This window comes from Homo sapiens, chromosome 2 (assembly GCF_000001405.40).
Source record: "Homo sapiens chromosome 2, GRCh38.p14 Primary Assembly".
In the NCBI taxonomy this organism is placed as follows: domain Eukaryota; kingdom Metazoa; phylum Chordata; class Mammalia; order Primates; family Hominidae; genus Homo; species Homo sapiens.
The window spans coordinates 224,943,183-224,969,712 of NC_000002.12; the positions used below are offsets into that span (position 1 = coordinate 224,943,183).

At 39.1% G+C, this 26,530-nt stretch overlaps 1 protein-coding gene across 23 annotated transcripts in view, besides 3 other annotated features; it reads right to left on the reverse strand.

Annotated features, from left to right (window-relative positions):
• DOCK10 (dedicator of cytokinesis 10) overlaps positions 1 to 26,530 on the reverse strand; it is a 277,379-nt gene that overhangs the window by 178,093 nt on the left and 72,756 nt on the right. For 5 of the 23 annotated variants that reach the window (XM_047444932.1, XM_047444931.1, XM_047444924.1 and 2 more), the window contains exon 1: positions 3,665 to 3,867. The exons of the other annotated variants lie outside the window; for them this stretch is intronic. In XM_047444932.1, the coding sequence (XP_047300888.1) occupies positions 3,665 to 3,769 (105 nt within the window). In that variant the 5' untranslated portion in view covers positions 3,770 to 3,867. Of the gene's footprint in view, positions 1 to 3,664; positions 3,868 to 26,530 lie in introns of those variants that run through there. 23 annotated transcript variants of the gene reach the window in all.
• Positions 800 to 929: an enhancer, noted in NCBI's record as "active region_17189". NCBI's record gives its function as "activates an Ori minimal core promoter by ATAC-STARR-seq in GM12878 lymphoblastoid cells {active_cell/tissue: GM12878}" and the evidence as "EXISTENCE:reporter gene assay evidence [ECO:0000049][PMID:35858748]".
• Positions 10,290 to 10,339: a silencer, noted in NCBI's record as "silent region_12384". NCBI's record gives its function as "represses an Ori minimal core promoter by ATAC-STARR-seq in GM12878 lymphoblastoid cells {active_cell/tissue: GM12878}" and the evidence as "EXISTENCE:reporter gene assay evidence [ECO:0000049][PMID:35858748]".
• Positions 14,566 to 14,955: an enhancer, noted in NCBI's record as "active region_17190". NCBI's record gives its function as "activates an Ori minimal core promoter by ATAC-STARR-seq in GM12878 lymphoblastoid cells {active_cell/tissue: GM12878}" and the evidence as "EXISTENCE:reporter gene assay evidence [ECO:0000049][PMID:35858748]".

Consider the following 26,530-nt stretch of genomic DNA (forward strand, 5'->3'; position numbering starts at 1 on the left):
CTTTTCCTTAAGCTTTTTTCATAACACAACTTCAGTCTCTCAATTGTATGTTGTTTGTGATAAGTGGCATTTCTCAGACAATACACTTGAAAATTAGATTAATAAGGGAAACTTTCAAAACAACTAAAAATTCTACATAAAATATACAGCTTCAAATAGCATTTGAAAAAAACCCAGAATATACAGACTAGTCCATCTGGGTCAAGAGGGTATAAAATCTGGGTTGCATAATTCTTAGGAAGTCACAGAGCTCTGGATAGGTATTTGAGATTACTGTAAAATTAAACCATTTCTAAATTTTCTTTCGATTCAGAAATGACTTGAGTTCAAGATCTACATAATCATCACAAAAACAGATATGATAAGTATCTGCAACGATCACTTTTTTCTTCTTTCACTACAATTTATGAGTATATCCAAAAATTTAAAAGAAGTTATTGCTTTCTTCTTTAACTTTAGGTCTCATCTTTATTTGTTGGGCATTTTGTCAACTGAATTGCTCCTTCCCTCATCACTATTCAAATGAATAGGCTCTGAAGCCAGTCTAGGGATGTTGGTTTAAGATTTTTTTTTCTTTTCTTTTTTTTTTTTTTTTTTTTGAGTCAGAGTCTTGCTCTGTTTCCCAGGCTGGGGTGCAGTGGCACGATCTCGGCTCACTGCAACCTCTGCTTCCTGGGTTCAAGTGATTCTTCTGCCTTAGCCTCCCGAGTAGCTGGGACTACAGGCACGTGCCACCACGGCCGGCTAATTTTTTGTATTTTTAGTCGAGATGGGGTTTCACCGTGTTAGTCAGGATGGTCTCCATCTCCTGACCTTGTGATCCACTTGCCTTGGCCTCCCAAAGTGCTGGGATTACAGGCATAAGCCATCATGCCCGGCCGGTTTAGATTTTAGAAAGCTTAGATGAATGTGCTGGGCACGGTACAATGAGGCTGTGAGTGGGTTTCAGCTAAACTCTGCTTAGACTGGGTAGAAAAAAAACCATGGTATTTCTGAAATAAACTGTATTGACACATAGAAAGATCTGGGACCCCAAGCACTCAGCTTAATGCAGTTCAGAAGTCTGTCTCCTAGGTGGTTCTGTTACCAAAAAAAGATTCCCAGGAGAAAAGCGTGACCTGTAGTCCAGTGACTTCGACTGCTGAAGGCACTAGAAAGACAATTTCAGTGTCCCTTTTCCCTTGTCCTTGGAAATGGAAATATTTTACTTAGTTTTAATAACACTACACAACACTTGTAACTTTGGCAACACTTGTAACTTGTAACTGTTCAAGTTACACAACACAACACTTGTAACTGTTCAGAATGCACAGTACCAAACTGAATTCTAATAAGCAATCTTAACGCAGGATAGGTATTATTATAAGCATTTTACAGAAGAGGAAACTGAGGTTCAGAGTGATTTAAGTAACTTGCCCAAGGTCATATAGATGGCAGGTGAGAGCGGCAGGGAGAACGACTTCCTCAGGATATCTGTTTCAAATCCTAGTGCTCTAATTACTCGTTGCACTTTCTTGGATTCCAAAATGAAAAGCACATCTCAGGATAATACTTAAGGATGGATCAAACAATCCTGTACTCAATACAAGAGACAACCTGTGAAAGTAGATATGCCTATCTTAGGCAGACCAAAAGCAGGCAACTGTAGCACGGACATCCCCAGTGCCTTCTGTCGTCGAAGAAAGCTAATCACTGTATGAATGATCTTAATTAAATTTGAATGCATTGCTAACTGAATGCTGTGGGAAAATACCGCGTCCTTACTGGCCGCTCTTCCCATAGTACTCAGTAGCAATACATTCAAATTCAATTAAGATAATTCATAGAGTGATTAGCTTCATTATATGGTGAGACTCTGGGGACTGTCCTCTTGCCAACACTGTATGAGTGGTCTCGGTAAGATAGACACGTTCTTCTGTGCATTTTCTCTTTTAGTGGACACAAGAAATAACTCTCAGGGTGACATAATCCATGCTACTTCTAAATTCCATTGAGATAAATACAGCAGGGAAATTATGTTTTGGGGACAAGACTCAAGTTAAAAATAATCTCAAACCAGGCAATATTTTGAAACAGTTATTCTCCTTAACAGGCTGACAAGGCTCTTTTGGAGTCAGTAGGGAAGATATATCTGACCAGTGGGGAGGAAGTGGTTAGGTCCAGGCTCTTATTTCTGACCAATGGGGAGAAAGAGGTCAGGTCCAGGACTCTGCATATTCCAGTTATGAAATACCCAGTGGAAAGATTAGAGCTACATTTAATGTGAACAAGGGTAGGGGCTCAACTGCATGTATTCACCAATGGCAGACACACACTCCTGAGATAGAAACTGAACAAACAACAACACAGTACCAACCCTCTGAGCAGACCTCTAATAAACTCTATTCATATCAAGTTACCGTCAACTAATTGTTAGTATAAAGAGGGCCTCTATTCATTGAGAGGCAACGTACTTATTCATATTTATAAAGAGCCTATATATATGCATGTGTGTGCATATATATATATATAATATTTTTGAAAAGCCATCTCTGTTTCTATATTAAAGATGTTTCTATGAACAAAAAGATCTTTCACCCCTAGAACTGTGGTTTTCATATGGGTGATCAGTGATCACCCTCCCGGAGACGTTTAGCAATGTTTGGAGATGTTCTTGGTCATCACAACTGGGGAGGGATTGCCACTGGCATTAAATGGATAGAAGCCAGGAATTTGCTAACCATCCTACACGGTACAGGATAGCCCCCCACAGAAAAGAATTCTCAGACCCCAAATGACAATAGCGCTGAGGTTGAGAAACCCTGCTCCGAAAAAGGCAAGCAAAGCCAGATCCACCATGTGAAATGAACATTCTTCTAAAATAAGCTACCCAGGAATATTGCCGCAACCATTTAACATACAAAGTGGGCCCTTCACTTTACATGAAAGTCACTGAAGTGCTCTAACAATCAGCTCTGATATTCAACTGTCAGTAGTTTATAGAACTGTAAAGTTCTATACATTCTACAGTTTATAGATCTGTAAAGTTCTGTAATAAGTACAGGTTTTCAAGCTCTCATTTTGTTTGCAAACAATAAGGCAGAAATATTTTTAACAGCAAAACAAAACCAAATCTTTTTAACCTTTAAAACCTTTAAAAGTATCACTTTTTAAAGTCCTCCTTGGCTCTATTAATCAAATGCTTATTTACTTTTTCTTTCATATTTTGGATTGCTCTTTCTAAGAATTTTAAAATAAATAATTAGTGGCATATGATAAAATAGAGCAATGACAATTTTTTAAAAATACAACCATATACATGTCATCAACTGAGTCCTTAGGCAATTAGAGGCTTTTCTTTAATAAAGAGAATAACTTCTTCAGAAATTTTAATTTGTACCATAATACTAAGATCACCTTAAATTCCAAATATTATAGTAATGTTTTAATGATTAAATTCTCTATTAATATATTTTACAAGAGTTACATGCGGTTTGAGAACAGCGTGACTTCAAAAATAATGATGGAAGTAAAAGAGAATATTTAGGACCCAAATGGAATCTTCTGTTCCATATAAGACTTCACCCAGCAGCCTCTGCTAGAATACCACTGTAGAGCTAATCATTTTTGAAAGAAAGGATTGAAGGAAAGATGGAAAGCAAAACATTGACATTTGGATACCTACAGAACTAAATCTGTGGATTTCTTCTTGGTTTACTCTCCTCACAGTTCGTCTCTTCTTCCAAAATTCACTGGGCTCCCGTTTAAAAACCTTCCCTCGAAAACTCATCGTATTGCTATAATTTGAGTCACAAAATATTTCAAAATATCAATGTCGTTAAACTCTTCTCTTCTGAAGCGTCACCAGGCTGAACAAATCTTTCTTCTTGGTAAAAAGGGAAATGCTCATGCTACATGAATGTAACTCAACAGAAAGGAAAGGAAAGCTGTCAAGTTACCACTTCCTGTGAGTAACTAACTACCAGCTGTTCAGATACTGCTTTTGTGCATATATCCTCCCTCTTCACCTGCAATAAAGCAACACAAAATGACTTTGGACGTTTAAGAGAATTGTTCACAGCTAAATAAACCATATGATGTAAAACCACCCGTGCAACCAAATCAAGATTGAATTGAACAGTTAATTGACAACAGGGCTCCACGGCTGTCAAAACAGCCACCCAAACTTTATAATTCTGGTTAGACTCCAAAAGTCAACTGTAATAATATGGCTGAGGTCTGAGAATTGTGTTTAAAGCAATTGCTCTTGTTAAGTGTAGACTAAATAAGTGATCTTCCGAGGGGAGTTCCCAAAGTGATTGTTTAGAGAACAAGAAGAAGATATTAGAATTTTTTGTATATTGGCTATCTAAATAAAGAAATTATGCTTGACTATTATTTAATAGAATGCACACAGACATGGACTCCTTGAATCTGTATGTCAAATAGTTACAAAGAGCTACAGAGTTAGTTCCCTCATCTTTAGATCTTCAAGCCCTTTCTCTGGGGCTATTTAATTTAAAAGTGCAGTTCTCCCCTCAAACCCACCCAGATGCTCTTTCCTGTTTTGATTTTCTCCATCACAGTCACTGACACGTAACACAACTGTACGGTTTATTTATTTGTTTTACTCAGGGTCTCTTCCTCTACCAGGCTGTATGTTCCATGAGCATGCAATTTCATTTCATTCACTGGGTCCTCAGTGATTAGAACACGCGGCACTCAAAAGGCTTTCAGTATATATTAGTTAAATATATGTTTAATAAAGAATAAATTAGGGATTTACATTTATTATGCTTAACAATGAACCTTGTCTCATATATATATTGTGCTTTGAAATATTAGCTATTGATAAAAGCCATATAATTGATAAACAGATATACAATATAGGAGTATGTTCAGTTTTTTTCTACTAGGTGAAGCAGAAATATTTGGAGGCCACAGGACTAGGCTGTTCTCTTTTCCCCAGTAATAATTAGATTTAGTTGATAGGCACACATGTACCCCAGGCCTGAGCCATTCACCTGTCTCTACTTTGTCATGCAGTGATTTGTGCCAGACAGGGAAAAAGGGATTCTGATTATTCCTGTCTTAGCATGCAGACTGAGAAGACCTTCTTTTGAAACCAATCAGAAAAATAGCATGATGCTATAAAATGACAGCTGGGGAGATAAATTATATCATTACTTTGTAATTGGCTTAGTTAGGCAAACTAAGGATTCCACTGAGCAGAAGTCCATTGATCCCTGGTCATTTGATATTTAGAAATTCCACCATATGTCTTTAGTGCTAAACAGATTTCACCCTCAAAGTAACGCTTTGACATCTGACAGATGAACAGGTATGTTATAGTACATGCAGAATCTTCAGATTTATTATTTTTTCCTTATATGGTGTGATGAGAGTCTGACTCTGGATCACCTGATTTCCTGGGGTTAGATTATGTGTATATGTTGATGGCTAAAAATAGTATTTTATAATCCTTTTTAGATCATGAGCTCATTTTAAAATCTGATAAAAGCTATGAACCCACTCATCAGAAAAATATAAGCACTCAGAAAATGTGCATGCATGGTCAAGAGTCACAAACTTCTGAAAACCATCTGTGGATCCATCCAACAATGGTGCCTTAAATTTCTGAATCACAGTTTTAGAAGATCAGCATACTGTCTTATAACAAAGCATTGAATAATCTTGAGAAACTGTTAAGCGACTTTCTGTCTGTCTAATATTTGCATCTATTTTGTCCTCTATTCCTCTTTAGGCACCACAGTTCTTTATCCTAGAGTTCCTCCCACTTTTCAACTTCTGCAATATGAGAATGACTCATTTCTCCATTTCCTCAGCTGCTAATCATAGCTTCCTGAAATATTGGCAAAAAGAGGCATCACCCGGCAGCATATGGGGATGTCAGATAGACAGAGTCTGTGTTGATGCAAAGGAGGGGAAAATCCAGAAGCATGGCATGGAGTGTTCCATGGGATGGCACCGCTGGGCCCTCTACAGGCTTTCTTCTCCTCGTTTCTAGACCAAGCCTGTTTCTCAACCATTCTATGAGACACTCCACACCATTCCAACACATTTCTTTTCTGCTTTAGTTTTAGAAACATATTGTTAATCAAAAGTCCTAGCTAGGACAATGGGCAAGAACCAGTAATAAGGAGCAATCAGAGATTTGTTGGCTTAGTTACAAGGAGATGCCTCCAAGTTCATTAGAAAAGAAATCCAAGACCAATAAATCATCAGAATTTATTAAGTACTGTATTCAAGACATCACTGAACTTTGTGAGAAAAATAAAACACCTTTCCTAGTTTTAAGAAGCTTGTATCCTACAGAGGAGTTCATTAGAGTTTGAAGGAGTCTGGGGAAGCTTTATAGAAAAGATATCTCTAAGGTAGGCTTTGAATAATAGGTGGGAATCAAAGAGATGAATGCAGAGGAAAGCATCCTGCTGGAAAGGAAATGTAGCAGAGGGGAGGCATCAAGGTAGAATGGTTAAAATTACAGAATCATCTGGGATTCAAATCCTGGATCCATCACTTCTTAACTGTGTGTCCTTTGGCCAATCACTCACCCTTTCCAGGCCTCAGTTTTCTCATCTGTAAAATAGGGATAGCATAGTCACTACCTTATAGGTTTGTGGTGAGGATAAATAAAATGACATCTTAAAAATATCAACACATTGCCTTGCCTGGTACATAGTATGCATAACTATTAGTTACAACAAAGGCAAAAAGGCAGGCCAAAGCAGAATATTTAAGAAAAAATTAGAAATCTGCCTGTCTACTGCCCAGGGTTAAATAGGAGAGGAGAGATAGAATCAATTGAAGGTAGAAGTCAGGAGCTAGTTCATGGAAGGCTTTGAATGCCAAGATAAGGAAAAGTTTCCACTGTATCCTGAAATCATGAGGAACCACTAAAGGATTTTTGAATTATAATTACAATAGTGCTTTAGAAAGATTCATTCGGTAGCTACATGCAGGCTGGATTGCAGATAATTTGACCCAGAGATGGTTTGCATTAATCTAGATATTAACATAGGGTGGTGGAATACAGAAAATTAGGCAACAGAAACATAACCATACATTTCAGGGAAATTATAAAGATCTAGCAATTAAATAAAAAATGAGAGCTGAAATTTACTGAGCAAGTACTATGTGCTGGATGCTGGTCTAAATTTTTTATGGAACCTATTTAAATCATCCAACAACCCTGTGAGGTAAGTATTGTTATCATTGTTATCACCACTCCAGTTTTACAGAGGAATATTTGGGTTCTGGAGAAATTAAGCAATTGGCCCAAAGTCAGTAGCAGAGCTGGGATGTAAGTCCAGGGGGTCCAGCTACTGAGCCCACCGTCTTAGCCAGAAGGGAAGTTCAAAGATGCCAGGTTTCTGACTGGCCATGAAGGAGATGGGTAATATGAGTGAGGGAAAAAGGGTGGTAAGAAGGGAGGGTTTCCCCCCTTTATTTAATGTGCAATGCTGATTTAGACATGTTGAATGTTGCATCCAGAAGATTGTCAAAAGGGAAAGTCCAGCTGTTATATGTGTGCCTAGAACTTAAGAAAAAGTTAGGACTGGAGACGTGGAGCAGAAAGTCATGAAAATAACTAAATTTAAAAGTCTAAAAGTAAACTGAATTTTTGGAGAACAGATTAACAGAATTAAGAACACAGTCTTGAAGTTCCTTTACATATGGTAGATGGAGGGCAATTCAGGAAATACTGAGAAGGCATAGAGATAAAAGGGGAAATTACGGAGCCATTACAGAGCCTCAATGTCCTGGACAGGTGAGGTTAAGGAAGGTGCTGCATGGCATCTGAACAGAGATGGATGTAGGGCCTGGCAATGTCTAAAAAGATTCAGTGTGAGAGATAGACAGGCTGAAAACTAAGGACCTTGCAGTTTTGGATCTAGACATACTTGTGCTTAAATCTTCAGCTGTCTATTAGATAACGTCCAGCAAGGTATTTGACTTATCTCTGCCTAACTTTTATATGTAAGAATAGAGCAATTAGTTTATAGCTTATAGGGTTGCTGTGAAACAATATATGTGAGTCCCTGGAGTTGTGAACAAAATATATATATGTGTATGTATAATGGCTAAGATTCCTATCTGTGTATATACATAAACTATTATTATTGAACATAATGGGTATTTGTCATTTCTTATGTAAGTATGTATTTATGTATATACATATATATGCATGCATATATGTACATACAAAACGCACAGTCTCACATATTCTTATATAAGAATTCAAAGTCTGGTCCCATGGTGTCCAGTCAGAAAGTAAGTTTGCCATTTTCAGTAGAGAAGAGGCTAGATGTTTGGAAATTAAGTAAGATGGGACACTTAACCATGATTTAGAGACATGGGAATTTGAATGCTAAAATGTCAGAAACCTAAGAAAAAGTTCTGGCAATCTGTATTAGTTTTCTATTGCCACTGTAACAAACTGCCACACATTTAGTGGCTTACATCAACCTCCATTTATGATCTGTTTTCATGGGTCAGAAATCTGCATTCAGTGCGGCTCAGCTGACTCTCTGCTTGGAGAACCACAAGACTTAAACCTAAGTGTCAACAGGGTGGTATCTCTTTCTGGAGGCTCCAGGGGAGAAGCTGTCTTCAGGCACATGCAAGGTTGTTGGCAAAATTTATTCCTTACAGTTGTAGGACTGAGGTGGCCATTTCTTTGCTGTCTGTCAGCCAGGGGTTATTCTTAGCTTTCAGAGGCCACCCACATCCCCTGACTCAAGGACCCTTTCTAAACCAGAAATAGCCAGCTGAATCACTCACACTTTGAATCTAACTTCTCCTTTTGCCTCATCTTCCTAACATATCTCTTCTTCTGTATCTCTCTGCTGTAGCCAGGGAAAAAAGCCTTGGCTTTCAGGGCCTCATGTGATCAGGCCAGGACAATCTGGAATCATTTCTCTACTTTAAGGCCACCTGATGATCAACCTTAATTTATGACTGCAAAGTCCCTTCACAGCTGTACGAAAATTCATGTTTGAATAATCAGGCAGTCTGGAGGGGACGTCTTTAAAATACAGTCTACTACGTCTTATTCTCGAATTTTGTATGCGTGTGTTTTAATTTTAACATCAAGGATGTACTGAGAAGAAGGTGTAGATGAGAAAGACACTTGGCCTTTGGTTGTGGTTTCCACTGACCACTGAGATCCAGGTTGCAATGGGACTAAGAAATGAGTGGGAGGAAATGGAAAATTGGCTTCTAGATCATTTACTGGAAAATACTGGCAGTGAAATACAGGTGAGAAGTCGAAATAAAGGTGAGAAGTCGAATGGCACAGGAGAGCTCAACAAAGTTGGAAGAAAGGAAGAAAAATAATGGTGGAGGAAAGGCAGCAAACAAAGTCAATATACTATGTGAAAGTCCTTTTTAAATGCTCAATTATGTTATTTTTTTTTTTTTTTTTTGAGACGGAGTCTTGCTCTGTCGCCCAGGCTGGAGTGCAGTGGCGGGATCTCGGCTCACTGCAAGCTCCGCCTCCCGGGTTCACGCCATTCTCCTGCCTCAGCCTCCCAAGTAGCTGGGACTACAGGCGCCCGCCACTACGCCCGGCTAATTTTTTGTATTTTTAGTAGAGACGGGGTTTCACCGTTTTAGCCGGGATGGTCTCGATCTCCTGACCTCGTGATCTGCCCGCCTCGGCCTCCCAAAGTGCTGGGATTACAGGCGTGAGCCACCGCGCCCGGCCTATGTTATGTTTTAACATGCTCAATTCTAACTATTTTCAGTTAGATAGGCTATCCAATCCGGAAATGGCATCATCACTGAATCTAAGCAACCGGGGGGCAGAAACCTGGCTTTCATTGACAATGCATTTGAATCCATTCCATTAAAATGGCCCCAAAAGTACCATTAGGAATTTAGAGTAACAGAAACATAGTGCTTAAGATTTAGACACATGTACATGATGACAGGATTCACAAGTCCTAAATTGAGCAATTGGTAAGGCACCTCCTATTCATTTCTTCCCACTTCAGTTATTACTTCCTTATTACATTTTATCTTTATTCCAAGTTTTTTAACCTGTTGAGCTTTTTGGCATTTGCCATTGATTACTTCTTCATTATCGCAGAATGCTTGGATAATTCATTTTATTTTTTTCTCTTCCATTTCCAGTAGATTTCCCCATTTGCCTGCAGGTTAGTTTGCTGCACAGCCTTTCTGTCATAGGAAAAACAAGACTGGTCCATGGTGCATCTGCAGGCTCAGCTCAACCAGTGTACACCCTGCTTAAAGGAAGTAAAGCAGCAAGTATCTACTTCCTCCTTCACTGTGGTCTCTCCTGAGCCTCAGCCCTGCAGAAGAGCTCTTAAAGTTAGTGGTACTCAGGCTCACTGCTTCCTGCTAGAAAGGTCAACCCAACTGAGCAGCTCCAAGTTACCAATGAGAGTAGACTTGTCTGGGGGAGTTTAAATGAACACGACAAAACCTCGTATTTCTAAACGTACAGTTTTCAAAGTGGACAATGTCTGTGAAATATAGGTTGGGGCAAAGGTAACTGCGGTTTTTGCGATTATTTTTAAAATAGTGGTTTTTTAAAATGGCGCTACTAAAAATGATGGCAAAACCCACAACTACCTTTGTGCCAATCTAATCGTATACAGTATTTAGAAATTTCTTGGAAAATAAAGGGTGCTGTGCACATGAGTGAGAATGTAGATGAGCCAACAATAACAGAGACTGCAGTTTGTGGGTGTGTGGTGCATGTGGGAGTCTGTGTGTGCAGAGTGTGTGTGTGTGTGTGATGCATGCTTATTGTGTGTGTGGGGTAGATGTTGTGCATTTGCTGTGTATGTCTGTACAGGTATATAGGCATAAAATTATCTTGATTGCATTAAAATAACATAGTACTCCAATTATAGCCTTTCAGACAGGTATAAAGTTGTAATATTTGTTCACAGTACTGAATTTCAATAGGTTAGAAGGTGAAAATTCTCATTTAGAGAATTCTCATCAAATCAGAATTTGATGGGAGAGGGGTTTGGGTAGGTAAGAAATTCATTTCTTACAGAGTTTACAGAGCCCATCTTAGAATCTAACAGCAAACAGTGAAGGAGTTATACTTTTTCAATAGTGGACTTCATCACTGGTCAGAGATATCCATTTCCAGAAAAAAATTATAGTCCAGAGATATGTATATATCTTACCAATAAGTATCTTAGTGTGATATTTAGAAAATAAAATACATTGATTTTAGGGTTTATTATTTTCTGAATTTCCTGTTGGGCATTTAGTTAATCACCCTTTTTGAAGTTTTTGATTTTTTTTTGCTAAAGGCATCCAACTGTCTTCGAGAAGTCATGTGTATTTTAATATTTCCAGCTTCAGCCTGCTCTGCTGTTGAAAATGGGAAATCTCTAAGGGACAAACATTTATTCTTATGGAGACAAAACTCTAACTCACATGCCCTTGCCTCCATCCTCAGAAGCCAGGGCATAACAATAATGACAATGACAACAACAAAAATACCACAGCTAGCTCATAGCATTTCTAAACATGTTTCATACAAATATATATGCCTGGATTGATACTGCTCTTTACAAAGGCATGCAGCTAATTCTCACCTAGAATACAGTGTTCTTTTCCTATTAAAAAGTAATCAACTCCAAAGCAATATATTTTTCATTATACTATTTTTCCTCTACCTTTTAAAGAAAATGAAAAGCATTCCGAGCTGAAGCAGATTTCTTCCACAAATGATCAGGTGAAGACACACAAATACAGCCTCCAAGAAGATGAGGCTGAGGAGATCTGAATCAATGCAGTTATCTTTTTATCTTATAGGGACTGTTTTCCAATTGCATTTTCCCTAGAGACAGAGGTATCCTGTCTGCTTGCTGGCTTGGAGCCTACTCCAGCTTCCCACTACTGGCAAAATTAACTACAGACCAATGTTATTTCCTTTAAAATAAAACAAGCACCTAAAATTGCCCTCCTGTAGCCATTCAAACTACTCATTACCTTGCTTTCAATATGAATGTCACTCACTGTTTAATAATTACCCTGAAAAGCACATTGTATGTAAGTTTTGTGGGGAGACTAAGGTCTTTCAAATCTGTAAAGCTCTAATGGAAAAATTGGTCAATTTATGGAATACCACCATTACATATGCTTTATTCTTGTGGCTGTCTTTTTACTGCAGAAGGATTTGTCTTTATAAATGGAAGGCAATAAAGCATTATTACCTAAGCAATTTTGAGAAGGAAACTAATTGTCATGTAAATGCCAATTGCTGAGTGTGAAGGCAACCAGATATCTAGACCAACAATTTATTGCTAGTGGATCAGATTGTTAGCCTAGGTACAATCCCTGTAACCCAGTCGACTCCACAAACCACTTATTTAATGGCACCGTAATGCATTTGTGTCTTTTAAGGCCTCCACCAGGAGATAAAGCTAATACAATACTTTGATTTAAGTGTTTAATGCCTTGCATTGTGGAAATTGGAGAATAATGGTAGGGTCTTGGGTTTGCAATCAAGAACTTTGTGTTTTGCAGATAACTAATTGTTGAATTTCCTTTATTTAGTTGTGCACACTGCAGTAAATTCTTGACATTTTGAAGTCCAGTAGTTAAGGTCCCCAATTAAAGGGCAAATTAACCTCTGGGTATGTGTTCTGCACCTCACTAGGTAAACAAGAAGAACTGAAATAGCAGAGAAACAAGAATTGGATACCTCTCATAAGGGCACCCATATGTATTTAATCTAGTTTATGAGAATGACTCTCTGTCAAACATTGTTCGTGTCTGTCCAGTGCCAGGAATCAATGATAAGAGAGAATTAGAACAGACTATACACAGTCCATGTGGGGAGATGATGGTACACATAAAACACAAAAGGCAGAAACGAAGTGACAAATGAAGAATATGGGTTGCAGCATCTGAAAACAAAGGAGAACATTGTGTTGGCCAAGGTGAAGCAGGATTTCTTCATACAAGCACTGAGACTTGATTTGGGACCTGGACAATAGTAGGACTTTGAAAGTTACTACTATAACCCCAAGAGAAGAGACTCTCCAGTGTTTGTAAGAATCACATGGATAAGTTGTTTAAAATGTGGATTCCTTGACCCTAACCAGGAGCTCAGTAGCTCTCATTTGGGGGGTTTAGTAATCTGGCTTTATAAAGACCATCCATTGGCGGGCACGGTGGCTCATGCCTGTAATCCCAGAACTTTGGGAGGCCAAAGGTGGGTGGATCATTTGAAGTCAGGAGTTCGAGACCAGATTGGCCAACATGGTGAAACTCTGTCTCTACTAAAAATACAAAAATGAGCTGGGCATGGTGGCATGCACCTGTAATCCCAGGTACTCAGGAGCCTGAGGCAGGAGAATCACTTGAACCTCGGAGGTGGAGGTTGCAGTGAGCCGAGATTGCACCACTGCGCTCCAGCCTGGGCAACAGGGCGAGACGCTACCTCAGAAAAAAAAAAAAAAAAAAAAAAAAAGAGCATCGAAGTGATGCCTGTTAAAGACACTACACAGACCACACTTTGAGAAACAATGCCTCAGAAGCTGGTTCACCTAATAGTTTTCTTAGGCAGAAAATCATATAATAGTGCCCTCTGTGGCACTACCTCCCAACACAAACTATTTTTATACTGCACGGAGATCTCATTTATAAAATCAAATATTCTCTTTTCCTAATGTATACTCAGTCAGGTGGAATTAACTAACCAGCTGGATCACACCGCATGTTTAGGAAATGGAGGAGAAAACCCTGGAATAAAGCCAGCCTCTTCACTGGCCACGGCTGTGCTTGGAATTTGTAAACCTGGTCATGCTTGTCATGTCCCTCAGGTATTGTCTAAATCAGGGTTTCTTAAACTCAGCACTATTGACATCTTGGATCTGATCATTTGTTGTTTGTGTGTGGGGGTGTCCCTTGTATTGCAGGATGTTTTGTAGCATCCCTGGCTGGCCTCTACCCATGGATACCAGTAGCAAACTCCCCGCCCTCTGCTGTGCCCATCTGTGACAGCCACTGAGGTCCTCAGAAGTTGCCAAAACTTCTTGGGGGAGGGCAGGGAAAAATCTCTCCCCAACCCTAGGTCTAAATCTAGTATTTAGTTTTTACTTTCCGCCCCCCCCCGGCTTTGTTTTTCGGAGATGGGGTCTCACTCTGCCACCCAGGCTAAAGTGCAGCGGTGTGATCATAGCTCACTGCAACCTTGAACTCTTGGGCTCAAATGACTCTCTTGCCTCAGCCTGCTGAGTAGCTGGGATTACAAATGTGTATCATCACACCTTTTTTCATTTTAATTTTTTTTGAGGTGGGGTCTTGCTATGTTGCCCAATCTAGTCTAGAACTCCTGGTTTCAAGAGATCCTCTCACCTCAGCTTCCTGGTAGCTGAGATTACAGGTGTGAGCCACCAAATCCAGTATTTCCTTGATGATGGCTTCCAGAGCCAGGGATCTCCTGGCAGATGGTGGAGATTTCTCTTTGGACCAGAGTTAGTACCTCTTGAAAGCCGAGCTGACTTGCTTGGAAGAACCTCAGACCTACTGTCCTTCAAATCAGTGCCCTCTTTCACTTCTCTACATGTCTCAAAACACCACTATTCAAATTAGTGCATAAGCCTAGGTTTCTGTTTCTGTTCTGGGACGTCTCTATTAAAATGCAGCTTCACTTGCCTGGAAAAGCTACAAACCCATTATAATCTTCAATAACTTAGAATATTATCTCAGAAGAGGCAAACTGGTCACCTAGGCAAAGGCCCAAGGAATTGGGGATGAGGATACACGTTTCAAGCATGAAAGCATGTCATTGGGACTGTGGTGTTGGCCACTGTGGGTAAGACCACTGTGCTGGCCTTCACACTTACTTGCCAGGTACCTCTGGGTGACTTCCCTAACCTCTCTGGAAATGAGTCTCCTTATCTGCAAAATAAAGATAACCACAGTATCTACTTTATTAGATGTTGTGAGGCTTATTAATAGAATATTGGTGAAGTGCTTAGCGCCATGTGTGGAATATAATAAAATGCTCAGTGGATGTCAGTTGTAAGTTGGATTATAAAGTAATTGTGTTGAGGTCATCTTGAGCTGCGCTGCTACAGTGTATGGTTTATGAGTGCAGGATGATCCTAGCTGCTCATGCATTGAGCATTAGGAGGAGGAGCTCCGGGCACAAAAAGGGCACCAGCTCCGGGCACAAAAAGGGCACCTCGAAAGTGGCAGTGAAAGGAATAGGATGCTTCAGAAAGGAAGGGAGTAGCCAGAAGACCCCTTGGTTTGGATAAGGATAATTAGGTTAAACAGCCTCTCTTCCCCTGCACACTCACTCCTTCCACAACTGACCTCTTTGTGCTCATTGTGTCTTGCAACACTGGCTATTTCATTTTTAAATCCCCTCTGTGCACAACTACAAAAGGTTCCAATTATCCTATTTCTGTCATCTCCCTTTATCCCACAAAGAAGACTCAAATTCCAAGGAAGTTAAGAAAGCCAAGTTTTAACCAATATCATATGTTTAAAAAAAAAAAAGAACTTTTCATGGTTACTTTTCTGCCTAAGCGGGACTGTAAATTCCCAGAGCAATAAACAGTATCCTCTTTATGTTTCAACGGTGCGGGATCTCCTACTGGCATGTGGCAAATACCAACATTATAATTACCAATTTGATGTTGTGAACAGCAGAAAAGAGTATTGCACTTTGTTTTCTCCCCGTCTTCCTCTTTTTCCTTTGAATAAATTTCCAAGGCCACGGAAAGGTATTAAAGTACACTGACAAAGAGACATTTAATCTGACTTTGTTCTCTTTTGCAAGGGTATCATAGATTGGGAAGGAGATCCGCTACCTAGACTGCATCAAAAGATCTTTGGCAGCATTTAAAATTGGCATCCTTCTTGCTTTGGTTGGCATTAGGGAACATATTTTCAGGAACCAGTTCTGAATTTGTGTTGACTTCTTCTTTCTCACTGCCCATAACTACAGAGTGGAGACTGCCATGATAAGCCATTTCTTTTTTTCTTTTAGGCAGAGTGCATCTCACTGCATTCACAGTGAGGAGAGCATTGGATGGCATCAGGAAGCCTGTATTCAACATCTATCGCTGATAGGTTGAGTGACCTCAGGCAAAAACAGTAATCTTTCTGGACTTCTTGTTCTGAAGCTTTTTTTAAAAAAACTCTAAACTTCTATGTTTGTGTGTTTTTAAATAAAACAACTTGTATCAGCCATTTCCAGGTAAACCTACAACCGGACCCCAAAAAATAAGCCTTTATTATTTTCTTTTTTTTTTTTTTTTTACCTCAAGTACCACTTAGGCAAGAAAAATGATTTTTCAATCAGAGCTCCTCTTTCTCCACATTTAGTCCAGATGATGCACCCAAAAAGATGCTACTGTCTCTCATTCCCTGCTCTCAGCTGGATTCTACTTCAGAAGGAAACAGCTGTGCCTTCTCACTAGATGACATTGCCCTTGACATGATTTGTAAATAAAGCACTGGAAATAATTTTGGGGCTGTTTTCACACCCACTTAATTTATTGATAATATCTTGCTAAAATCTGAATATTCAGTTATGTATTTTTAACATCTCATTACTTTCGCCTTGAATACAGCTGCAAAACGGAAGCCGACACTGGGAAACCCTTCCTTTCCAACAGGCCTGATGTTCAGTTTTGTCCCCCTCTGCTCTTTGGGTTGACTTCAGTAGTCATTGCCAAGACTGAGTCTTTGTATAAAAGCCTGAGCTTTTCATCTGCTGGAGAAAAAGGCAGAGTCAATATGGGTGTGACATATACAGTCCTCCTTGTTGTGGAAATTGTACCTTGATTTTCCTATGGGGAACACCTCCTCTATCCCCTCACCTTCCAGAGCACATCAAACAAGGTGACCTGACCCACCTCCACCAATCAGATTGTTCCTTCTCTGAACTTGAACCTTGAGAGGAATGATATATAAAGGCAGAAAACAGCCATGATTTATACCAAAGACAGTGTCTTGAATGCTGCACATTTATTATCATTATTATAATTATTATTGTTATTCCTATTGTTCCTGGGCTCCTGCTCCCGCCGTGCTTACTGAGGCCTCTTGCTTAGCTCTTCCTCCAGTCTGAGGGGATTCCCCTACCTGCACTCTTTATTTTCCTTGACCTAGCTAAGGTCATTTTCTTTTTGTAACCATATAACTATTTGCAACCATATGTTTATTTACACTGTAAATGGGTACAGACATTGTGCTAAGTATTCAGGATAACCAGAAGAATAAAATAACTTATTTGTCTTTACAGAGCTTAGAGGAGTTGGTTTGGCAGGTGCTGTGATGAGAGATTTGCATCAGAAAGTACTAAAAGTCTAACAAATGAAAATTTCATTATCATTTCTTCCATATGTCCTTTCAAGGGCCAAAAAGCAAACCAACTATATGCTCATTCCCTTTCCTTCTAAATACCCTTCCATGCAACTTTATCATGATTTTACTAACATAATCATCCACCTAAGTGATAAAACTGGAAACTTGGTACTCATTTTCAACTTCCCTTATCCCTTATGTGCACAATGAACGCATCACCAAATTCTTTTTTTTTTTTTTTTTTTTTTTTTTTGAGATGGAGTTTCGCTCTGTCGCCCAGGCTGGAGTGCAGTGGCGCTATCTCGACTCACTGCAAGCTCCGCCTCCCGGGTTCACGCCATTCTCCTGTCTCAGCCTCCCGTGTAGCTGGGACTACAGGCGCGCGCCACCGCGCCCGGCTAATTTTTGTATTTTTAGTAGAGACGGGGTTTCACCGTGTTAGCCAGGATGGTCTCGATCTCCTGACCTCGTGATCCGCCTGTCTCGGCCTCCCAAAGTGCTGGGATTACAGGCGTGAGCCACCGCGCCCGGCCCCCATCACCAAATTCTAATGATTGTATATTTTCTTGTAATCCTCCTCGTTGCAGCAACCTTCCTTGTGAAAGCCAGGTCTGATCAAGTTATTCCCAACTCGGAAGCCTTGAGTAGCATCCTCTCTTGTCAATATCAGTGTTTCCCCAACTGTATTCTAGAGCTTCACAACATGTTAGCCAGGATGACAGAGAAGAGATTTACAATGGCAACTAAACTTGAGAAATGCTGCGTTGAACAAAGCTAAACTGACCTTCTCACTGCAGAATTCCTCAGAGCTCCAATTCCCATTGTGCAACACAACTCTCTCTCCAGTCTGTAGTATGTGATATTTCCCATGCTTATTTTTGCATAGCAGCATTTTCTTTCTTTCTTTCTCTTTCTTTCTTTCTTTCTTTCTTTCTTTCTTTCTTTCTTTCTTTCTTTCTTTCTTTTTCTTTCTTTCTTTCTCTTTCTTTCCTTCCTTCCTTCTTTCTTCATTTTTTTTTTTGAGACGGAGCCTCGCTCTGTTGCCAGGCTGGAGTGCAGTGGTGCGATCTCGGCTCACTGCAACCTCCGCCTCCTGGGTTCAAGCGATTCTCCTGCCTCAGCCTCCTGAGTAGCTGGGACTACAGACACCCACCACCATGCCCAGCTAATTTTTGTATTTTTAGTAGAGACAAGGTTTCACCATGTTGGCCAGGATTGTCTTGATGTCTCCACCTTGTGATCTGCCTGCCTCGGCCTCCCAAAGTGCTGGGATTACAAGTGTGAGCCACCACGCCTGGCCACATAGCAGCATTTTCTTACAGGGTACATCTTATTCTGTGTCACACAATTTAGGAAATGATCTGTGCAACTGAGTCTCAGTGAGAAAACTAGTGAGATAGAATTTCAAATTTTTTAGCATAAGAAGATGTCAGTGACATCTTCTCCAGGGGGTACAGGAATTGCAGGAGTTTATTGAGGAGCCATGAAAATCTGAACTAGGGCAGATGCCAGGTTGCACTGGTGCTAAAACAAAGAATTGACAGCATGGTGGCTGGCTGACAGGCTTCAGGGCAAGACCTCTGCATCTGTCCCAATTTTGGTCTGTTCCTTCCCTGAAATGAACCCCAGCCAAATCACACATCTCTACCAGGAATCATTTTTTCATAGCAGTTTGACCAAGATACTTGTGCCTATCAGTTAGGGGAATGCATAACTTAAATAAATACTTCCAGTTATTTTCTGAGATTGGACAAAAATTGACACATAATTAGGTATGTAGCATTGGGTTCACGGGGTTTCTGTGAAATCTCAGCACAATAGAGTGAGGCATGAACAAATTTTCATGGTTGTATAGTAAGCACTAAATAAGCACTGTAGTCAGCATGGAAGATAATTTATGACTCAGTTAAAGGGAAAATATGGAACATGAGAGTCCACTCTCTACCCACTTTTTTCAATAACCGATGATATCTCTGATCTGCTTTGTAAACAGATTTCTAAAAGGATTTGTTGCTTTTGATGCATTAGTACTCACATCTCCTACTTGCATTATGTTGCTGAAAATTAAGTGTCAGATATTTATTACCACATTCCGCTTGTACTGTTTTACAGTCAAGAAAAGATAGTCTGACTTGTGACTATTCAATTATACCTGTGGAAATCTTTCTGAATTAGGAGCCAGAATGCATGTTTCTCAAAGTCAAAAATATAATCCTTAATCCTACATTTACATTAACAGCAAAATCATTTTCCACTCATATCAGCCAAGTATATTATAATGGATTGCAGACATTATAGTTCTCACTGGTACCTTGAAGTTGGAATACTGAATTAAAGTGAAACCCTAATGAAAATTTAAAAGAGAATAACAATTAGGCAGCCTAGGATTCAAGTTAGTCCCACAGTTGTATTTTTTTTCTGCCAAAAAATGTTTTAAGGTATATGAATTTGTTGCCAGCATTTAACAATTGGGAGATTTTTGTATATAAACCCTGGTTACTAGTTTTTTTTGAAAAATTCGAGATCTGACCATACTGATCCCACCTTTTGACCTGGAAACTGTTGTCCAAGCTGAGTGGTGGCTGAACCCTCTGGATGGGCCATGCCTGCCCTAGTTTGCTATGCTACCCACCAATCCGATTTGAGCCATTGTCTAGCCTGTTTCATTTATTCCCTTCGTGGCCTGCTGGCATGGAGTCTGGAACCCTTAAGGGTTTCACGTTTAAGACCATGTCTTTTGGGAAGAATATTGTGACTGAGACTCTGATCTAAGCCTTGCCTGATGCCTCTACATTAGACAATAATCCTAAGGATTTCTACTGCTGATATATTCGCAGTTAATACAGGTCTGCAATAGATCAATAGTTTACTCGTGAAGATTTCTCAAATGTGAATCATGTGCCAAAATTTTGAAGGTAGTAATAAAATTGTGTTTCTGTTCTGTCTAACTAGAATGCCCTCTCCTTAAATGTACAGGACAAGAGAATATTTCTTGTATTGATTAAGCCATAGTAATCATTACATTGCACCAAATTTCTTCTTTAATTTAAAAGAATAAAAACCATTTTGAGGCAGAGTCAGCTCATGTGAGAAATCAGTGTGGCAATTAATGGTATGGCTCAAACCTCTTCATGTAAATGACGAGAACGTGATGCTAAGCAAAACTTCTAAGAAGTGACAGAGATTTATTTTAAAGGGGAAGTAAACAGTTTTCAAGTAGTAATTTTATATTAAGAATGAAAGAAATATAAGGACTGTAACATGAAAGTTAGTTACTCGAAGTTAAAATTTTCAATTACTTGTCTTTCACAATTTAAGAAAAGGTGGATGCAATGTCACATTCTCATTGATGTTCTTCATCTATTTCTTCATTATCTACATTTTACATGACTTCTTCTTGCAAAGGGAAGAATTTGATGTACAGTCCAACTGACTATTGGAACAAGAAAGCTAAACTACAATCACATGTTTTCACAATTTGGTCTAAAATTCTTTTTTTTTTTTTTTTTTTACAATAGAGTCATTTCTTACATGTTATATTTTCGAAATACCTATTTAAAACTTTATGTTTGAAAGGAGAAATAAAATACAGGATGCGGAGGGTGTTAGCACAGGTGAGATGTCTTATGTGTTTTCCTTGGTGAAATTTAGATGACTGTATTTAAGTGGATGTAATAAAAATATGTCATAGAATTCAAAGTGAATTAGAACAACTACAAATAATAAGCTGCTGTAATAATAAGGGATACTTGATGATTGGTTAAACTTTAATGTGTTGTTCATTTTCTAAATGCAAACGATTCTTTAATATAGCTTGATCTTAAAATAACAAACCTCTTTGAAAGAGATATGACCTGACTCATCAGTAATTCCTTATTGAGGGCTTAAAGAGGCACAGGAACCATGGACCCAGGAATAAAATAATGATTTTTCTACAGCTTTAAGTCCTGGCCTTTAAGTATGTGTTCTTTCTTTCTTCTTTTTTTTTTCGTTTCTTTCTTTTTTCTTTTTTTAAATAGAGACACGGTCTCGCCCCATCACCCAGTCTGGAGTTCAGTGGCATCATTATAGCTCACTGCAGCCTCGAACTCCTGGGCTCAACCCATCGGCCCACCTTGGCCTTCCAAAATGCTGAGACTACAGGTGTAAGGCACCATGCCTGGCGTGGCCTTTGAATATTTCTAAGAAAAGGTGATGACTGGTGTTGAATATTACCAAATTAATGTTAAATTTCACCTTTTGGTAACATGCCCTCAAAAATGCAGATCTCCTTTCCTTCTTTTTCTTTCTCTTCTCCCTTCGGCCACTGAACCTCAAAAGGGGAGAACAGCCCGGCTATAAGAACACATACTTCAAGGATACAAGACATTCTTCTGAGAGAATGATTCACAATGGCTACGGGTAGAGACATAGGACAATGTGTTGTCCACTAAACTACCAAGTTATTTCTAGTATGGATGTCCGCAGCAAACATACTTCTCTTTGATGGTTTATGTCAATACCACTATATCAAATAAAAAAGAAATTCTTTTGGTAGAAGTCAAGAACTCTCATTAATCAACTTTTCCATTGTTTGCAAAAATATCAGCAATGAATAGGGTTGATTTTAGAAAATAATTACATTGTGTATCTCATGAGGCACATTTTTCCAAAAACATAATCATTCAGCCTTTTTGATGTATTGAACAAATAGCTTATTCGATGGGAAATGCTTTAACTTCATAGTGTGTGCAAAGTTCAAGGAGGTTTGGTGATAATCCTAAAAGTGCCCAGATTTCATGTTGTGTCAGAGAGGGAGCAGAGCCTGGCAGGTAGGAAAAGTACCCGTTTTCTGACTGAATGCCCAACAAGTAGGCATTCTTGGGCACCCTTTCAAGGTCAATGTTCCTACACAAGACGGTCTGCAGTTAACTTTTCTGCCTTTATCTCTGAGTATGATTCTGTATATAGGCTATGATACAATCCTTCTTGGGTGGATTCTTGTCTTCTTTATCCCTCTATTGAAACCTCATGGCACTTTTCTTTCTGCTTTTCTTGTGGAAATTATCTTATTTCCCTTTAGATTGTATTCACTTAATACAGGCCAAATGCCTTATTGTTGTGATATCTTCTTAAATACACAGATAGTAGCTTAATTACCTTTCTATCGTTTAGAGAGCTTAGTGTCAGAACTTGAAAATAGCAGGTGCTCCATAATTATTAAGAAATTAACTGGCTTCCCTAAAACTTCCATATAGCATAAAATACTGGTTAAGCCTAAAATACTCTTTCTTGAGAATTTATTTGAAAATTGTTTAAAAAAAGTAACTTAAATTTTACCCATTTATGTAGGAAGAGTCGGAAGGCATTATATAAAACTCTGTATTTTTCTTCTCACAGTATTATTTTTGGGGGAATAAATTTCAATTCAACCACGTCTCTTATATACAAAAATGTACTTTTCAAAGAGCCATGTTTAAGTTCTGGGAGAAATGCTACTTTGGGAAATTGGAATGTATTATTAATCACATTGCTGTGGCTTCCAGTGAATGTAATTACTTACTATCTATAGCAGAATGGAACTAATTGATTAACGTTCTCCTATAAACATGCAAGCGGGCACAACAGACTCTCTGACGCCTTCAGATATTTGGCAAACATTACAGAGTGTGCAGCCTATACACCATCCACTCTTAGCCCTCTCATTCCCTCCAATTTGATTTGAAAGACTTTTCTGAAGGGCCTGCATATTCTTGATACTTAAAAATTATATCGGCAACTAGGAAAGCACAATTGGATGGTGCCCCACCCCCCACCCCCCGTGGCCCTTGATTGTCGTCTTATCCTCCCTATAGAGAGATAACCTTATTTGAAAATAATGGCCTCTTTGCATTAGCATGATACAACACAGGCTGTTTTGAATATACAAAATAACCATCACCAAATGCTTCATGGCCTGTTAAGATTTATATAAGACTGACTTTCTTCTTTTATGCATGCGTAAATCCCAGAATATAATTTTCAGGTCAACAAAAGGGAGATGTTTGCTTTATCGCTATTTTCTAGAAATCTCAAGTCTTTATTTCCTCCTTCTGGAAGTCAGTAAGACTACTACTGTCAATATGCGAATCATAAAACTGATCACACAGCCTTTAAACCTCAGTTGTTATCACACAGCATCCCTGAGAAAGAGGGGAATAACTCTCATTTTAAGATGCTGAAAAATACTAAGTGTGACAAAGAGAGTAATGGGCTACATATTAAGTTTCTTTGGACCTAGACCTCAACACTTGCTGGCTTTATGGCCAATTATATTTTATTGAGGCTGTGAACAAATATGAATAAACCTTTCATACCAGCGAGCTCATGGTAATAAAGTTAAATAGCTCATCTAGAAGCAGGTACTCAGATGAAAAAAAAAAAAGTAGAGGCTCACATTTCATGGTATCAGGGATAAAGGAGGCGGGAATTACACATGTTTGCAAACCCCTTCAGTTTAAAACATTGTAGCTGCTAAAACAAGAGTACATGAAACGACACTGTCCATTGTTCATGGAATATCAGGACCAAATGGATAAAGTTCACCCTATCCTCTAGTCTTTTTTTTTTTTTTTGAGACGGAGTCTCGCTCTGTCGCCCAGGCTGGAGTGCAGTGGCGAGATCTCGGCTCACTGCAAGCTCCACCTCCCGGGTTCACGCCATTCTTCTGCCTCAGCCTCCCGAGTAGTTGGGACTACAGGGGCCCACCACCATGTCCGGCTAATTTTTCTGTATTTTCAGTAGAGACGGGGTTTCACCGTGTTAGTCAGGATGGTCTTTATCTCCTGACCTTGTGATCTGCCCACCTCGGCCTCCCAAAGTGCTGGGATTACAGGCGTGAGCCACCGCGCCCAGCCGGCCTATCCTCTAGTCTTATCTGGTGTTAAAATGTTTACCCTCAGATGTCTTAATGATCTCCATAATAAGTAAAATTTCAGGTTTTTGCCCAATGTCTTGGCATTGGGTAGGTCAACCCCAAAGTATGATTTTATAATCAGGTTTCTGAAGTTGCCACTTTACTTGGTGACTATGACTGAAGTACGTTATAATAGCCAGTACAATAGGCCTCCTTACCAAATCGCACCAGGAAATTAAGCCTCAAACTGGCTCTGTGTTGTGTGTACTACACCATGATCATGTTTAATTTTCTAATTAGAAAGACCTTCTCTTAATGAGTCAGATGTTAAGAGTCATGGAAATCCATATTGTAAAAAAAAAAAACCACATATATGTAGTTGTTAATAATGGTTTTCTGTAGGGATCTGAGAGGAGTGTGGGACTATAGGGAAGAAGTTTTAAAAAAATGACCTCAAATGTTTTCAATTTTTATTTTATACTGGTATGCAGTATTTATATTTTTCTCATAGTATATACTTCTTTTACAATTTAAAAATATATAAAAAGAAAAAATGGAGAGGCTTTACTCTGTCTTGATTTTTTATACTTCTGCAACTGCAGTTTTCTGATACTTATTCATTATGTATTTTGGGAAAACATCTAAATGGAAATCACGAGCTGAATTTTGAACTGAGTCCTCTAAATCTAAACTTTTGAACATAGAGTAAGATAACCATTTGGAGAAAAAAACAATGTTAAATTTAAGCCATGATTATGATCGTAAAAGGGAGCACTTGCTGAGAAATCAAGTATGTGTGAAACAAACATGGCAAGGAGAGAGCTAACAGAAAATGGTATGTTCAGTATTTTTGCTGACCGAAATAATTCCCATGTGGTATTTTAAAAAGAGCGCCAGAAAATGACCTCCCGGAACTAAGAATAGTTTAAACTTTTGATTCATAAAACCACAGGAAATATGAATCAAGGAAAAAGACAATCCCAGGCAGGGCAGGTGTGGGGCCTGAGGAAGCTCAACCCCACACAACAGTTCTCATCTCCTGCAACCTCCCCAGCCCCTCTCCCTAATTTCCCACTTCAATGACTGCCCTTTGGCACATAGCTGCTTTTAATCCACTTGGTATTGAGTATTTGGGATTTGGAATTCTGTGTAAAATGGTGATAATTTGATATTTACTGCTAGAAGGTGAGCGATCAAATGAGACAGCTGCTAAAATTTATGAATTCTATAACAATAATTTCAAATCCTTACTGCTTTTACCTTCCCAAGATTCTAAAATGACAGATTCAGTCCTAACTGACTAAGATACTAGATTATTTTTCCATACATACAAGGTCAATTTAAAAATCTGGTTACCAGGTTAATGGATGTAACATCATAAACGAGTCTTTATCCAGCTACATAGCTACATGGTATGTGCACATGCAAACATTTATAGTGCATCTATGGATATGAATAGGGCTGAATGTTTAAAGGCAACACAAGGTGTGAACGTCTCTTTAACTGACTGTAACTCAAACAGAGCCACAGACAGACACACACTTAGAACTACCCCCTACACTTCAACCAAACAGAGGCAGAAGATTGGGAAGGTGAACTCAATGTAGGGCTTGCCAAATCCAGGAAATAAGGAGGGCTGCAGAGAGGCACAGTGTCTTCTGCGGAACCCCAGGGCAAAGCTGTTCAGCTGTGATTTTTTTTCTACTTTTTGGCGGTCTCAGTTTGAAATTAGGCTCCTGGCTTTTGCCAAGGAAGTGTTAAAAATGTGCACTTGTGTGAAGCAGCAGCAGTCCTCTCAAATGGGGGTACCAGATTTCTCTGGTTACTTTTTAACTCACTCAGTGATGATATCACTCCACAATCCTAACGTTTCTCCTTTCAATCTCCACCCTTAAGAAAGTCATCTAACGTCTTGGTGTTCTTTAATGACCTTAACCACATCTGTAGCGAACATCTTCTAAGAACAGATCTGAAAAGCTTCTGTAGGTGAACTTGGGTGATTCCAAAGGTCCTTACGGTTTTGTGATGAACACATATATGGTTCATCATTTCTTTTTGTTATAGTTGTGCAAAAAGAAGACGAATTTGTGATGAGACTTTTTATTCCCCACTTCTTTGCAAATGAGTCCTCCAGGGCTGTTCACTGGTTCATTTGCCTGGAGGTCAAAACAAAAGCCTCCGATGCCCATCATGCCAGCCCCTGAAGATGTGATACTACCCCAGTTCTATTAATCACAGATTTGCTATGCTTCACTCAATTTTCAGAGCTAAAAGGAAGAAATAGATGCATGTAATCTTTAACTTGAAACCCATCAGCATTCTTTTCAACAGCAT